The following is a 17,125-nucleotide window of genomic DNA, read 5'->3' on the forward strand; positions in this document are numbered from 1 at the left end:
TTTTCAAATTAACTCTCAGAAGTTTAATGTGTAAAATAAAATACAAATGCGTGCTCTGTTTGAATCTGATTAGGAAGGCTAGCACTCTGTCTACTTGGCTTATTATCTCCACTCCTCATCTCCTATACCAGCCGCTCCTTGGAATCCCTAAAACCCTAAGGAAAAAGGAGAACCTTTGGTATAGTGCCTGTCTCCAGATGTCAGAAATAAACAGAGTCAGTCTTAAAACAGGTTATCTATTAGAGAAGACAGAATTTGACTTTAATAAAATCTGAAATTTTCTAATATATGGTCAAAAAATATGAAGTTCAACAAAGGATCAAAAATAATTTGTATAAATATAAAATACTAAAAAAAAACACTCGATTATTTGTTGATAAAAGATGAGGAAAGTTCAATAACTGTTAAGTTCAATAAGAATCAATAGTATGAGCCTTTAAAAAGCCAATGTAATTTTAAGCCAAAGTAATAGAAGTACAGCATCAAATAGAGAAAAAATGGTGACAGTTCTGGGCAACACATTTTAAAACATGTATTGAAAAACTTGACTAAATCTAGAAGCATGTAAGTATCTTGCATTAGGAGGAGCCTACAAAACATGTTCTGAAAAGCAAAGCCTTGGTTATTTTGGAAGAATCTTGAAGTTTTTCAAATATTATTACACAGAAAGATGATCAGGCTTATATGTTTACTTCAGGATGCCAGCTTAGAATTAATGAGTGAAAGTTAGAAAAATGTAGAATTTAGCTTAACATAAGGACAGGCTTTCTATCAGCAGTGCTGTTAAGTTGTCATGGGAAATACTGTATTTACCCATCACTACAAGTATATAGAGAGTTTCTAGAATAACTTTTTATTGATTGGAATAATGTACTAAATGACCTGTCTCTCTTTGTAAAAAATTCAGATTCAATATATTTGTGTGCCATATACTACAGTTTTCTAGCAAATAAAACATCATTTTTTTTCAGAGTGAGCCTACTAAAAAGTTACTTAGATTAAACATATCAGTCAATTCCTTATGAGCATCCTAAATATATTCAGTATTATGGAGTGCTATATCTTTACCTTTAACCAATTCCTGGTAATATCAGCAACTAATAAAAAGTGAAGAAACTATTAAAATTTAACAAGTTGAGAGAAATCTAACAATGCAGTTTGAAGTTTTCGTAATTTTAAAAACGGATTAGCCAGGTGCAATCACTCACGTCTACAATCCCAGCAGTTTTGGAGGCTGAGGCAGGAGGATTGCTTGAGCCCAGGGGTTCAAGACCAGCTTGGGCAACATAACGAGACCCCATCTTTACAAAATTAAAACAAAAAGAAAGAACTGATTACAACTGTTCACTGTTCATATAGTAAGGCAAATTAGGTAATATATGAAACCAGATAACAATTTTTACGATTTTGTTACTATTATTAAATAAAACTATAGAATGAGTGGTAATGTATTGGTTTTAACCAAAGAAAATAAGTTTGTGTTGTTTAGGGAAGAATATACCTTTTTAAAAGAATTTTTCGTGTACCAGGATATATAGAACATGAATTAGACAGATGCTTGGATATTTGCATTTTTTTCTTATGTTGCACTTCAAGATCTTTCTGAGAAATTCTTCTGTAGGAAAAAATCAGCAAATATTCATAATAACTCAGCTATAACAAAAACACTGACTTGCTGCATAAAGAAACAGTAGTTGGAACATATGGATCTCCATTTTATTTATTTATTTTTTTGAGAACATCTGCCCTTTAATTTGCATTTAAAATCAGTTTCTTTAAATACTTTAGTTACAAGTTCTGAATAGTGAAGACAGAGTAGTAGATGCTGCAGGCACTCAGTATTGGCTCCCACCCCTTCCCCCCTCCCCACCCCCAGGCCTCACTTCTTGGCTCAAGATACAAAAAGGCACTCTCTACTGGCCCTAGTGTCAAATGTCAGCAGCCTCAGGCCTGGATGCAGTTGGATACAAAGCCATGAATCCCAGTAGCTCCAAGGAATTCCAATGATTGTGCCCAGATCCACCGGCAACACATCTTAGAAATGACCTCATCCATTACACCACTATCTACTAACACCCTCAGGGTGGTTTCCTACCCCAGTCCACGTCCTCCAAATCTGTGTCCTGCAGAGGAAGAGACAAGGCCCCACTATAACGCAGGAAGGAACAAGAACTGCCTCCTCAGCCCACGGGCTTACAGCAACTTACTTGAAAAGCTCAAGGCAATCTGAGTCTAGAGGAGACCTCCCTTCCCTAATCTCTACCAGGCTCTGGCCCTTCTTCGGGACTACGCTTGGTTCCACTGCCATGATGTGCTAGAATCTGCTCTAAGTAAGAACAAGGTGCTAGAATGAGGCCCAGCAACCAGGAAAGGGTTGCTACAGCCCCAGCTGTGTGAGATTGTGCCAAGATGAGTCTTCTTGGTGTGAGCCTATGATGGAGAGCGTGAGGGCAGACCTGGGCTCTCCTTCTATGATGATTACAACACGTGACCTCAGGGAACCTCTGCTCTCTCCTCCCATTCACACACCCAGATCCCCTGGCCTGTGCTTCCTGGTAGAGGTAGAAGAGGCATCTTGAAGTCAATGACAATGGAGAATGAAGGTGCCATTGAAGAAGGAAAGCAGCACCTCTTTGCCTGTGTTCAATCCCTCCATACAAGTGGAATCGAGAATGTGCACAGCCAGGACAGAGGCTGCTCTGAGCTTGGGAGGCACAGCATCCTCCTAGATGTCTCTGCAGAACAAACTTTCAAAAGATAGGAACTTAATCACATGGTCCTCGGGGGTTTCTCTATAGTATACCAGCACTAGGGAGAAGCAAAATCATCTTTGCAGAGAGCTGATGGAAGAAAGGCAGGAATATGAATGAGCATCCATTAAGGCTCTCTCTCTCAAGCCTAAGGAATTAAGATATTCGAGGGTATGAGACAGGTGCAGAGAGGGAGAGAGCCAGGCAGGAACACCAAGAAAAAAGCTGTGACTGCTGGTTACATAGTGCTCTGCTTCCTTGCTTGAGGCCAACAGCATGTGCCTGTCACCAGGCTAACCTGGGACCCATGAGGGGACAGGGAGAAGACTGGTTTTCAGTTCCTGCATGATCAATTTGTAGGGTGTGTGGGTTCCTCCTAAAGATCAAAGAGGAGGACTCTGGGATCCTCTACCGCTGCCTTGATTTTGCGGAGGAAAGTCACAGCCTCTCTGCCATCAATCAGCCGGTGATCATAGGTCAGTGCCACGTACATCATGGGCTGCACCTCTACCTTGCCTCCTATAGCCACTGGCTTGTCAAAGATGCCATGCATCCCCAGGATGGCAGACAGGGGGGTTGATAATGGGTGTTCAAAGAGTGAGCCAAAAACACCTCCATTGCTAATGGTGAAGGTACCACCATCCATATCTTCAATGGCAAATTCATTCTTTCGGGCCTTCTCTCCCAGTTCAGTGATGGTCTGTTCAATATCTGCATAATTCATAGCTTCCACATTCCTGATGACTGGAACCACCAGACCCTGTGGGGTGGCCACTGCAACACTGATGTCAATATAATCCCTATATACCACCTCTTTGGTTATATCATCAATCACTGCGTTTACAACAGGCTGTTCCTGCAAGGCAAAGGCTGAGGCCTTCACAGATGCCGACATGAAGCCTAGTTTGAGGTTATGTTTCTTCAAAAAAGCCTCTTTGTGCCGAGCCCTCATCTTCTGGATGTTACTCACATCAATCTCATTAAAAATTGTCAGCATTGGCACATGTATTCTGGGCCTCCTTCAGACGCTGAGCAATGCACTGCCGCATCCTGTTCATTTTCTCCTGATGTTCTGAATGCAGACCTTTGCCAGCTCCTGGCTCAGCTAGTGGTGGGACAGCAGTGGGTTTTACTGCAGACACAGGTTTGCTAGAAGGAGGTTGTGAGGGCGAGGGCACTGGTGGCATCGAGTGGGTATGGGTGCTGCATGGGGAGGAACTGCCGCTGCTATAGGTTCTGCTTTTGGGGCTGCAGCAGCAGGAGCTTCAGCCGGCTTGGCCTTAGCAGGAGCAGCACCAGTTTTCCTGAGTGTGAAAAGCGGAGTGCCTCCTTCGACTTTTCCCCCATCAGGTACGAAAAGAGCTTCAATCATGCCATTTGCTGGTGATGGAACCTGCACCAATGTCTTGTCAGTTTCAATCTCACAAACCACTTCATCTTCTGCAACTGTGTCTCCAACAGCTTTCTCCCACCTGACATCTCCCTCTGTGACAGGTTCTGCAAACGCTGGGGTTTTGACTGTAACCAAGTCATACTTGCATACAGTTGTAGTTCTGAAGAAGCGAACACTGAAGACACTGTTGTTAATGACAACCTTCCTGCTGTTAGGGTAACCTGGTCCCTGGCATAAGGAGACCCCAGGCAGGGAATGTCTCCCTAGAGGGCAGTTCCCCTTCTGGAAGGCAGAGAGCGAGTGGCTGAACGCCCGGGACACAGTGGGACCGGGACAGCATCACGGCGGCCGGGTCTCCGTTTTATATTATTCCTTTTCACAGGCAGCTCTATTTGCCCTCCTTTTCAAGATAGCATGCCCCTTAAAGAATAAAATTAGTTTTGGGAAAGAAAAAGTGCCAGTTTCAACAGGCATAGACTGTCTTGTTGTAATAATAATACTATACCAGGAATTTTTACTTGCAACTCATATTACTAAAAGAAAGTTAAATAGCATACTATAGTCCCTCCTTATCCTTGCAGGATACATTCCAGGACCCCTAATGGATGCCTGAAACCTCAGAAATACCAAACCCTGTATATACTATGTTTTTTTCCTACACATATATACTTATTATAAAGTTTAATCTATAAAGTGGGCCCAGCAAGAGATTAACAACAACTAATAAAATAGAACTATAACAATGTATTGTAATAAGTTATGTAAATGTAGGCCAGGCATGGTGGCTCACACCTGTAATCCCAGCACTTTAGAAGGCCCACGTGGGAAGATCCCTTGAGTCCAAGAGTTTGAGACCAGCCTGGGAAAGGTAGTGAGACTTCATCCCTACAAAAAATAAACAAAAAATTAGCTAGGCATGGTGGCACATGCCCATAGTACCAGTGACTCAGAAGAGGTGGAAGGATGGCTTGAGCTGGGGAAGTCGAGACTGCAGTGAGCCAAGATCATGCCACTGTACTCCAGCCTGCGCAACAGAGTGAGATCTTGTCTAAAAAAAAAAAGTTATGTAAATGTCCTCTTTGTCTTTCAAAATATCATATATACTGTACTGCGGGTAACTGAAACCACAGAAAGTGAAACCCCATGGAATGGGGGAGGGCCTACTGTGTTATTAAGACATAGACCTCAAATACTAGCTCTTCCATATACTAGGTACGTGACTAGGCAAGTTTTTAAACCTGATTATTTATTTCCTCATTTGTAAAATGTAGGTAATAATAATTGGGATTGTTAAGAGAATTAACTGAGAGAGCAATCACCATGTGTTATTTGCCGATATTATCACCATTATCCGGTATGTGTATCTCTTAGGTATTTTTTATTGGCACGTTCTGATCCAGATCCTAAAGCTCCTGCTAATAAAGCCTTTACTGGATTCATTGTGGAAGCAGATACCCCAGGAATTCAGATTGGGAGAAAGGTAAAGTATTTATTAATGATTAGGGCCCCAAATATTATTTTAATTATAAATTGCAAAATTACTTAACTTTCCTTTAATAAAAACATTTGTTTGTATTAAGTTGGAGTAAAAATAAAGCTATGTTTTGATGATATTAGATCAAATAGTCTATATACTACTGAAGATTTTGTGAACAGTCATTTCAAGTCATTTTGAAAGAGTAGTACCAACCTGTGGAGAAGGCTAATAACAGCTGTGAGGAATAATGAAGTAAAATCAAGCTATCATTTATATTACCTGACCAATAATAAGAATTCTGGATATTTCAAGGGACTTTCCCACTCTTTTCCCCATTGGATCCTCACAGCAACCTTTTGGTAGGATAAGTGGCATTATGCCCATTTTACAGATAAAAACAATGTGACATAACTGAGATTTTACTAGGTCATACAACACTAAGAAAAAAGTCTATGCCTGAAAAGAGTGTAGAAAATAGCAAATAGCCTTGAATATGGAAAGGCAAGAAAATCTTACTTAAATAAGAAAAGGTAATTTAACATATTTGAAAAGGTTTGTATTCTGAATATGTGGAGATAAATTTGGCATTTAAAGTAGACTAAAGAGAAAAGAGTTTAAAATTTTATAAATCACAATTTAAAATTATAAATTTTATAAAGAAGGAAAGAAATGAAGTCAATAAAGTAATTTTTTTTTTTTTTTTTTGAGACAGCGTCTCGCTCTGTTGCCCAGGCTGGAGTGCAGTGGCAGGATCTCAGCTCACTGCAACCTCTGCCTCCTGGGCTCAAACAATCATCCCACCTCAGCCTCCTGAGTGGCTAGGATTATTGGCATGCACCACCACACCTGGCTAATTTTTGTATTTTTTGTAGAGACAGGGTTGTGCTGTGTTGCCCAGGCTGGTCTCAGACTCCTGGGCTCAAGCAATCCTCCCACCTTGGCCCCCTAAAGTGCTGGGATTACAGGCATGAGCCACTGCGCCCAACCAAAGTCCCAAAGTTAGAGGCAGAGTTGAAATCAATATGAAGGTATCCTAGGACCTTACCCAGTATAGTTTCTGATACTGTATTGTGCTATATTTTCAATCAGATATTAAAGGTAGACTGCACTTGACAAAACAGATGATACTGTTGTATGTAACAAAATATAAGAATTAAAAATTATTGTGCTTTTCCCAAGAAATTGTTTTTTATTTGTATAACAGATCATGTTTCTGTCTTAGGGATAGTTGCTAGCAAACTTGGCCAAATGTATGGCCCATCTTTAGAAAGTATAAAGGACCTAACAGCTTATACTTTTTTTAGTAGTAAACTCACTCCTGATTTTATCTTGCTATTTCTAGTTTTTTTCTTTGCCTAATTTTCTCACTTAAAAAAAAATCTACTTCAATAAATATTTATGTAGTGCATACTATATACAGTATTCTATCTATTAGGGATACAGTATGGATCAAAATAGACAAAAATCCCTGGCCTTAGGTAAATTACTTTCTGGTGAGTGATAGAGATAATTATATTGTGTATATTTAAGCCTCCTTAAATCTTTATTGAAACAAATGGATATTTACAAATTTGTGAAATTTAATGTTTTCAGGCCAGGTTTGGTGGTTCATGACTGTAATCCTAGCACTTTGGGAGGTTGAGGTGGGAGAACTATTTGAACCCAGGAGTTCAGGACCAGCCTGGGCAACATATTGAGACTTTACCTCTACAAAAAAATTTGAAAATTAGCCAGTGGCAGTGGCGCACACCTGTAGTCCCAGCTACTTGGAAGGCTGAAGTGGGAGGATCACCTAAGCCCAGGAAGTCAAGGCTGCAGTGAGCCATGCTCCTGTTGCTGTCTGTACTGCAGCCTGGATGACAGAGTGAGACCTAATGTTTTCAAATCTTTTGTGTTTTAGAAATTATATGGTTTGAGATGAGCCCAGGAAGCATTTTGGTTTTAAATGTTGTGGGGTTTGGGATAAATCTGGTAGGGTGTTTTCTCATTATATATGCATGGTGGTCCAAGATTCTAGTTTATTAACTTTTAAAGACAAAATAAAGGGATGTTGGCTTCTTTCTAGGTCAAACTATCGTTATTATTTCTTCAAACTCAGAAGCAGACTATTAAAACCAGCAAATTAAAGGGTTAGTTTATAGCTCTTTGTTTCCATTGCTCCTGTTTCTTATTCTGCTTATTAAACATGAGATCAAGTTTTTTTCCTTATTAAGAGTTATGTCTGCAACTTCCTCTCATGATTTAGCATAACACTAATAGTCATATACAAAGAGAAAGAGAAATAAAAAATAAAGCAAATGTATCAAAATGTTAACAATTGGTGAATCTATTATAGATGAAGGGTGTATAAGTACTTACATGCCTGTTACAACTCCTCCATTGGTTTGAAAATTTTTAAAACAAAAAGTTGAGGGAATGTAGCTAGTTTAGTAGTTTCTTATAAAGTCAAACATACACTTATCACATAACCAGTGCCCTTAAATAAATACCCAAGAGAAATGAAAATAAAGACCTATATACAAATGTTTATTGTAATTTTATTAATGATTGCTAAAAAGGAGGGGAGTATCCGTCAACTAGTGAAAAGATAATGGATATATGGTACATCCAAGAGTGGGATACTACTTAGCAGTAAAATAAATGAATTATTGATCATGCAGCAACATGGATGAATCTCAGAAGCACTATACTAAGTGAAAAGTCAGACACAGAAAGCGGACTTTATTATTTCACTTAAATGACATTCTGGAAAAGGAAAGACTACGCGGAGAGAAATCACACAGTGGTTGCCAGGGGATAAGTGTAGAATAAGGAAATTGACTATAAAGGGAGAACAAGGTAACTTTTTGGGGTTCTAAAGTACTCTGTATCTTGAGCATGGTGGTGGTTACACACATATACATTTGTCAGAGCTATTAGAAATGTATACATAAAAATGGTGACTTTTCTACATGTAAATTATACCTCAGTAAACCTAATTTTAACAGAGTCAAAGGAAAACAAAATCAATTTTTATTCAGTAGATTATTTTACTAGCTCTATTAAGATTAAAGGTCTCAAATCAGATTGTGTTTACTAAATGTTTTTTCTGACATGGTAAAATAGATAGCTTTCAAACATATAATGAGATTTGTCTTTGTTGATAAGATGTACTTGTAGACCTTTAGACTAGTGTTGGTTTCAAAATTTGTGAAACATTGTTTTAGATTATGGTTGGCAAATTTTTTTGTAAAGATCCAAATTATAAATATTTCAGGCTTTGCAGGCCATATCTCTGTCACAACTACTCAGTTCTGCCATTGTAGCAAGAAAGTAACTGTAGATGATATATGAACAAATAGGCGTGACTGTATTCCAATCAGGCTTTCTTTGCAAAACAGGCATTGCAGACTACAGTTTGTTGATCCCTGTTTTAGGTAATTGCAGAAAGTCATGAAACAGTGATTAAAGCAAAAATTGATGCTGGCTCAAAAAAAATTCCTTAAAATATATCAATTTTCTTATTAGGAATTAAACATGGGCCAGCGATGTTCAGATACTAGAGGAATTGTCTTCGAAGATGTGAAAGTGCCTAAAGAAAATGTTTTAATTGGTGACGGAGCTGGTTTCAAAGTTGCAATGGGAGCTTTTGATAAAACCAGACCTGTAGTAAGTAATATGGGTTCATAATCTTTATAGGATCTTTTATTTATTACATTAAATAAGTATTTTTACTTTAAAATTGTATGTTCAGTGTGTTTCTCTTTTTAATATCTGCTTATTTTATTAAGGATATAGGAAAAATACTGTTACTTTTCTTTCTTTTTTTTTTTTTTTTTTTGAGACAGAGTCTCACTCTGTCACCAGGATGGAGTGCAGTGGTGCAATCTCAGCTCATTGCAACCTTCACGTCCTGGGTTCAAGAGATTCTCCTGCCTTAGCCTCATGAGTAGCTGGGACTACAGGTGCACACCACTCTGCCCAGCTAATTTTTGTATTTTTAGTAGAGATGGGGTTTCATGATGTTGGCCAGGATGGTCTCGATCTCTTGACCTCGTGATCTGCCTACCTCGGCCTCCCAAAGTGCTGGGATTACAGGCGTGAGCCACCGCGCCTGACCATATTGTTACTTTTCTTAATTTTTTAAATAATTCTTCAAGTTTTCTTACTATACATTATAGAAATTATTTTAGCAACTGCAAAATTACTGTAGTTGGTGCTAGATTTAGAGAGGCAGTCCACCCTAAATATGATCATCCTGTTAATATGTACTCATTTTCTGTTTTTACTCATTAAGAACATTTCCCCTAGTAAGATTTCTCTTGTTAAACAAAAGCAATGACTTTTTTCTAGAGTATGATACTATGCCTAACAAATGCCTCTTACTACCTTTAATTAACAAATAATATAAACTTACGTGCCTATTCCCTGTTCCCCACCAGTTTCTTGTTGCTGTACATCACCTTCTCTTTGTACACTCCCTAACATAGACACTTAGGCAGATATTGTGTGTTTTAAAGATAACATGAACTTTTGCTTTATAATATCTTAAAATACTAGGTAGCTGCTGGTGCTGTTGGATTAGCACAAAGAGCTTTGGATGAAGCTACCAAGTATGCCCTGGAAAGGAAAACTTTCGGAAAGCTACTTGTAGAGGTAATTTTAATACTGCTTGCTTTGTTCAAATGTAAAGACACTCATTTTCATTTAATATTTAGAAATGATTTTTAAACCACAAACTAATCAATTTCTACTTTGATAGCAAGAAGATAATGTGGTTTTATCAAGATGAGTTTCAAAGACATTTCTTTTTAGAGTGTGCCACTATTGGTTACTTCTGAACCTGACACTGTGCTATGCATTTTTTTTTTTTTTTGAGATGGAGTCTCGCTCTGTTGCTCAGGCTAGAGTGCAGTGGCACAATCTCGGTTCACCACAGTCTCCGCCTCCCGAGTTCGAGTAATTCTCCTGCCTCAGCCTCCCAAGTAGTGGGAACTACAGGTGCGCACCACTATGCCTGGCTAATTTTTGTATTTTTAGTAGAGATGGGGTTTCACTATGTTGGCCAGGCTGGTCTCGATCTGCCCGCCTCAGCCTCCCATAGTGCTGGGATTACAGGCATGAGCCACTGGGCCCGGCCTTGTGCTATGCATTTTAAATATATTTTCTAGCCGGGCGCGGTGGATCACGCCTGTAATCCCAGCACTTTGGGAGGCTGAGGCGGGCGGATCATGAGGTCAGGAGATCAAGACCATCCTGGCTAACACGGTGAAACCCCGTCTCTACTAAAAATACAAAAATTAGCCGAGCATGGTGGTGGGCGCCTGTAGTCCCAGCTACTCGGGAGGCTGAGGCAGGAGGATGGCGTGAACCCAGGAGGCAGAGCTTGCAGTGAGCCAAGATCACGCCACTGCACTCCAGCCTGGGCGACAGAGTGAGACTCCGTCTCAAAAAAGAAAATATATATATATTTTCTGATTCTCTCAGTAACCCTTTTTTGGGTGGTGTTATCTCTTTTAAGGATCAAGAAACTGAAGCTCAGAGGTATTAAATGATTTGTCCAAGGCCACACAATTTATAAGTCACAGATCCAGGATCCTTGCTTTTTTTTTTTTGCGGGGGGTGGGAGACAAAGTCTTGCTCTGTCGTCCAAGCTGAAGTACAGTGGCATGATCTGGGCTCACTGAAACCCCCACCTCCTGTGTTCAAGTGATTCTCCTGCCTCAGCCTCCCGAGTCGCTGGGACTACAGGCACACACCACCACACCCAGCAAATTTTGATATTTTTAGTAGAGATGGGGTTCCCTTATGTTGGCCAGGCTGGTGTTGAACTCCTGGCCTCAAGTGATCTGCCTGCCTCGGCCTCCCAAAGTGCTAGGATTACAGGCCTGAACCACTGCGCCTGGCCTATGTTATACTCTTAATTCTTGTTACTTCCCATGTCCTCTTGAGTATCAGATAATTTTAGTACTATAAAGAGTCGTGTCTTCCATGAATTTCCAGGGTAATTCTTAACTCTTACCCCTTTAAATATTGATGCTCCCCCATTATCTGTATTCTTTCCTGCAACTCACTATGAGTTGTATAGTGAACCTCCTATTTCTCTTTTTTTTTTTTTTTGAGACAGGGTCTTGGTTGCCCAAATGCGAGTGCAATGGTGCAGTCATGGCTTATTGCAGCCTCTTGGGATCAAGCAATCCTCCCACCTCAGCCTCCTAAATAACTGGAACTATAGGGGCACACTACCATGCCTGCCTAATTTTTTTATTTTTGTAGAGATGAGGTCTCACTATGTTGCCCAGACTGGTCTCAAACACCTGAGCTCAAGCAATCTTTCCACCTCAGCCCCCCATGAGCCTCCTATTCCTATCTCCATTTGTCAGTGGTTCTCAAACTATTTGTGGTGAAAGACCAGTTTGTTTTAATTTCCAGTTAATGTGGACCATTATTTTTGTAAAATATAAGAATGTCACAACAATGTTAAATTGCTGTAAAAGTGTCTAAATGCTTATTCTCATCTTCTGTACCATCAACCAGTAACAGTTTGTGAATTGGCACTGTGGACAAACTTGGATTAGCACTGCTCTGTGTCCCTTAACCTTAGTTTCATAATGTATCTTTCTACACTATATTCTAGATAATTTTTTCAGATCTGCTTTCTAGTTCTCTTATCTTGTGCCTAATCTATTTAATCTGTTGATTTTTTATTAATGACTACTTTTCATTTCCAGAAGTTATATTTGGTTTTTTCCATTATACCTTCTGTTCAACATCATACCGCCTTTTCCTTTTTTCTCATTAATCATGTAAAAATTCTTCATTTATAATCAATTTCAGATTTTTTTGTTATCTTCAATTCTTTGGGTGCTAATCTTTCAAGGTGTATTGTGTCTTCTAACTCTTTTATGGTCAATTATTTTGCTTTTATTTTTTATTTGTAAACAACTTACCTGCAGGAAGTACTCTATTTCTCAGAGCATTATGGAAGCATTTTAGAAATTGGCTTTTGTACTTTTTTGGCACTTTTGTTAGGTACTCCAGAGATTTCACCATTCTAAGAGCTGTTATTTTACATTAATTTCTTGACTTGGAGAATCCTGTATCACAGAGCTCGTACATTGATCTCACACATTAAGAAACTCCGTACATTCCAGTCTGGGCAACAGTGTGAGACCCTGTCTCAAAACAACAACAATAACAAAAGTCCTTTTTTTTCTTGTTCTTTTTTTAACCCTCCTGGGCAAGAGATCAGCTTCTTTGTGGCCCTCCTATGCTGATGAGCCCAGACTTTTAATTGCCCCTTTGGAAAGCAAAGCTTTTACATGCAGTGATTCTCAGTTTTAGCCCCTTAGATTGTTCATGCTCACATCGAAATCTCCTGTTCTTATGTGTTTCTTAAAACTCTGGTTCCTATCCTGCTGAGCCCAAATCTGAGTCTGATTTTTCTTTTCCTCCATGTTATCTCTTCTCAGGATTTAAATTCCTTTTTAGAGGCACTTAGAGATTTCTGTTTCTTTCCTATGAGCTTTTTTTTTTTCTTAACCAAGTATTTCTTTGTTAACTCCTTCATGTTGCCAGAACTACATATGTACATTTTACTAAATGTTAGTTTATCTTATTCATAAACAAATTTCAACCTAATGCTTTTCAGTGAAGATCTGTCATCGTCTTCCAGGTCCTCCTTACCCAAGTATCTGATGATAACTGTATTTTTGGCTTTCAACTCAATATAGAATCTTCTCCTTTTATGTTCTCTTTCTTATAAATTCTAAAGATTTTTTTCTTATTAAATATTGAAAAATCTTAGTTTTTCCTTACTGCTTAACTCAAAATAGTCTTTTATCATTTGATTTCTACTGAAGATTTGCTTATCTTTTAAGCACTCTGCAAAATGCTGATAGCTTCTTTTTTTTTTTTTTTTTTTGAGACAGGGTCTCACTCTATTGCCCAGGCTGGAGTGCAATGGTGTGATCTCAGCTCACTGCAACCACTGCCTCCTGGCTTAAGTGATCCTCCTACCTTAGCCTCCTGAGTAGCTGGAACTATAGGTGTGAGCCACCATGCTCAGCTTTTTTTTTTTTTTTTTGTAGAAATGGGGTTTTGCCATGTTACCTAGGCTGGTCTCGAACTCCTGAGCTTGAGTAATCCGCCCATCTTGGTCTCCCAAAGTGCTGGGATTACAGGCATGAGTGACTGCGCCTGGCCTAGTTTTTCATTTTTAATTGGTAGGTACAGTGATATGACACTGTAATTCCTTGTCACTCCTTTGCTAGGTGTCTCTCAACCCATTTGTGTGCCCTTTGAAACTTCAGTTTTTTGTTTTTTTTTTTTTTTTGAGACGGAGTCTTACTCTGTTGCCCAGGCTGGAGTGCAGTGGTGCGATCTCTGCTCCCTGCAACCTCTGCCCCCGGGGTTCAAGTGATTCTCCTGCCTCAGCCTCCCGAGTAGCTGGGTTTACAGGTGCCCGCAACTGCACCCGGCTAATTTTCTTTTGTACTTTTAGTAGAGATGAGGTTTCACCATCTTGGCCAGGCTGGTCTTAAACTCCTGACCTTGTGATCCACCCACCTTGGCCTCCCAGTGTTGGGATTACAGGCGTGAGCCACCGTGTCCAGCCACTTGTCTTTCAGTCTGTGTACTCTATGTATAGCATTATGAATGAAAAGGGTCAGGTTATTCTTGGAATCCACAATTAAATAATTGTTTAGCCATTTCATGTGTGGTATTAGAAAATATACAATGATCTGCCCAAGGGTTCCAAGATGGCTGAATAGGAACAACTCCAGTCTACAGGTCCCAGCATGAGTGACACAGAAGACGGGTGATTTCTGCATTTCCAGCTGAGGTACCGGGTTCATCTCACTGGGATTTGTCGTACAGTGGGCGCAGCCCACAGAGCATGAGCCGAAGCAGGGCAGGTCATCACCTCACCCAGGAAGCGCAAGGGGTCGGGGAATTCCCTTTCCTAGCTAAGGGAAACTGTGACAGATGGTACCTGGAAAACTAGGACACTCCCACCCTAATACTGCGCTTTTCCAACAGTCTTAGCAAACAACACACCAGGAGATTATATCCTGCGCCTGGCTTGGAGGGTCCCACACCCATGGAACCTCACCCACTGCTAGCACAGCAGTCTGAGATGAAACTACAAGGCGGCAGCAAGGCTCAGGGAGGGGCATCCGCCATTGCTGAGGCTTGAGTAGGTAAACAAAGTGGCCGGGAAGCTCGAACTGGGTGGAGCCCACTGCAGCTCAAGGAGGCCTGCTTGTTGCTGTAGACTCCCCTCTGGGGGCAGGGCATAGCTGAACAAAAGGCAGCAGAAACTTCTGCAGACTTAAACCTCCCTGTCTGAAAGCTTTGAAGAGAGTAGTGGTCCTCCCAGAATGGAGTTTGAGATCTGAGAACAGACAGACTGCCTCCTCAAGTGGGTCCCTGACCCCTGAGTAGCCTAACTGGGAGAGACCTCCCAGTAGGGGCCGATTGACACCTCATACGTCCGGGTGCCCCTCTGAGACGAAGCTTCCAGAGGAACAATCAGGCAGCAATGTTTGTCATTCTGCAATATTTGCAGTTCTGCAGCCTCTGCTGGTGATACCCAGGCAAAGAGGGTCTGGAGTGGACCTCCAGCAAACTCCAACAGACCTGCAGCTGAGGGTCCTGACTGATAGAAGGAAAACTAACAAACAGAAAGGACATTCACACCAAAACCGCATCTGTACGTCACCATCACCAAAGACCAAAGGTAGATAAACCCACAAAGATGGGGAGAAACCAGAGCAGAAAAGCTGAAAATTCTACAAATCAAGAGTGCCTCTTCTCCTCCAAAGGAATGCAGCTCCTCGCCAGCAACGGAAGAAAGCTGGATGGAGAATGACGAGTTGAGAGAAGAAGGCTTCAGATGATTGGTAATAACAAACTTCTCCGAGCTAAAGGAGGATACTGGCAAACTGAATCCAGCAGCACATCAAAAAGCTTATCCACCACGATCAAGTCAGCTTTCTCCCTGGGATGCAAGGCTGATTCAACATACCTTGAATCAATAAATGTAATCCATCACATACAGAACCAACGACAAAAACTTATGATTATCTCAATAGATGCAGAAAAGGCCTTCAGCAAAATTCAACAGTTCTTCATGCTAAAAACTCAATAAACTAGGTATTGATGGAATGTATCTCAAAATAATAGCTATTTATGACAAACCCACAGCCAATATCATACTGAATGGGCAAAATCTGGAAGAATTCCCTTTGAAAACTGGCACAAGACAGGGATACCTTCTCTCACCACTCCTCTTCAACATAGTGTTGGAAGCTCTGGCCAGGGCAGTCAGGCAAGAGAAGGAAATAAAGGGTATTCAGTTAGGAAAAGAGGAAGTCAAATTGTCCCTGTTTGCACATGTCATGATTGTTTATTTAGAAAACCCCATCATATCATCCCAAAATCTCCTTAAGCAGATAAGCAACTTCAGCAAAGTCTCTGGATACAAAATCAATGTGCAAAAATCACAAGCATTCCTATACACCAACAACACACAGAGAGCCAAATCATGAGTGAACTCCCATTCACAATTGCTTCAAAGAGAATAAAATACCTAGGAATACAACTTACAAGGGATGTGAAGGACCTCTTCAAGGAGAACCACAAACCACCACTCAATGAAATAAAAGAGGACACAAACAAGTGGAAGAACATTCCATGCTCATGGGTAGGAAGAATCAATATCGTGAAAATGGCCATATTGCCCAAGGTAATTTATAGATTCAGTGCCATCCCCTTCAAGCTACCAATGACTTTCTTCACAGAATTGGAAAAAACTACTTTAAAGTTCATATGGAACCAAAAAAGCCCACATTGCCCAGACAATCCTAAGCCAAAACAACAAAGATGGATGCATCATGCTACCTGACTTCAAACTATACTACAAGGCTACAGTAACCAAAACAGCATGGTACTGGTACCAAAACAGATATATAGACAAATGGAACAGAATAGAGCCCTTGGAAATAATACCACATGTCTACAACCATCTGATCTTTGACAAACCTGACAAACACAAGAAATGGGGGAAGGATTCCCTATTTAATAAATGGTGCTGGGAAAACTGGCTAGCCATATGTAGAAAGCTGAAACTGGATCCCTTCCTTACCTTATATAAAAATTAATTCAAGATGGATTAAAGACTTAAATGTTAGACCTAAAACCATAAGAACCCTAGAAGAAAACCTAGGCAGTACCATTCAGGACATAGACATGGGCAAGGACTTCATGTCTAAAACACCAGAAGCAATGGAAACAAAAGCCAAAATTGACAATTGGGATCTAATTAAACTCAAGAGTTTCTGCACAGCAAAAGAAACTACCATCAGAGTGAACAGGCAACCTACAGAATGGGAGAAAATTTTTATAATCTACCCATCTGACAAAGGGCTAATATCCAGAATCTACAATGAACTCAAACAAATTTACAAGAAAAAAATCAACCCTATCAAAAAGTGGGTGAAGGATATGAACAGACACTTCTCA

The 17,125-nt window shown here is 40.1% G+C and overlaps 1 protein-coding gene and 1 pseudogene across 6 annotated transcripts in view, besides 1 other annotated feature; one reads left to right on the forward strand and one right to left on the reverse strand.

Annotated features, from left to right (window-relative positions):
* The window catches only part of ACADM (acyl-CoA dehydrogenase medium chain), a 38,971-nt gene that overhangs the window by 15,583 nt on the left and 6,263 nt on the right, over positions 1-17,125 (forward strand). For all 5 annotated transcript variants that reach the window (NM_001127328.3, NM_001286043.2, NM_000016.6 and 2 more), the window contains 3 exons: positions 5,515-5,623; positions 9,128-9,268; positions 10,160-10,255. In NM_001127328.3, the coding sequence (NP_001120800.1) occupies positions 5,515-5,623; positions 9,128-9,268; positions 10,160-10,255 (346 nt within the window). The remainder of the gene's footprint in view (positions 1-5,514; positions 5,624-9,127; positions 9,269-10,159; positions 10,256-17,125) is intronic.
* Positions 1,711-4,722, reverse strand: DLSTP1 (dihydrolipoamide S-succinyltransferase pseudogene 1; annotated as a pseudogene). The gene has a single exon (NR_130749.1). The product of NR_130749.1 is annotated as a dihydrolipoamide S-succinyltransferase pseudogene 1 (transcript).
* Positions 5,168-5,237: an enhancer, noted in NCBI's record as "active region_1205". NCBI's record gives its function as "activates an Ori minimal core promoter by ATAC-STARR-seq in GM12878 lymphoblastoid cells {active_cell/tissue: GM12878}" and the evidence as "EXISTENCE:reporter gene assay evidence [ECO:0000049][PMID:35858748]".

Source organism: Homo sapiens, chromosome 1 (assembly GCF_000001405.40).
Source record: "Homo sapiens chromosome 1, GRCh38.p14 Primary Assembly".
NCBI classification, from domain to species: domain Eukaryota; kingdom Metazoa; phylum Chordata; class Mammalia; order Primates; family Hominidae; genus Homo; species Homo sapiens.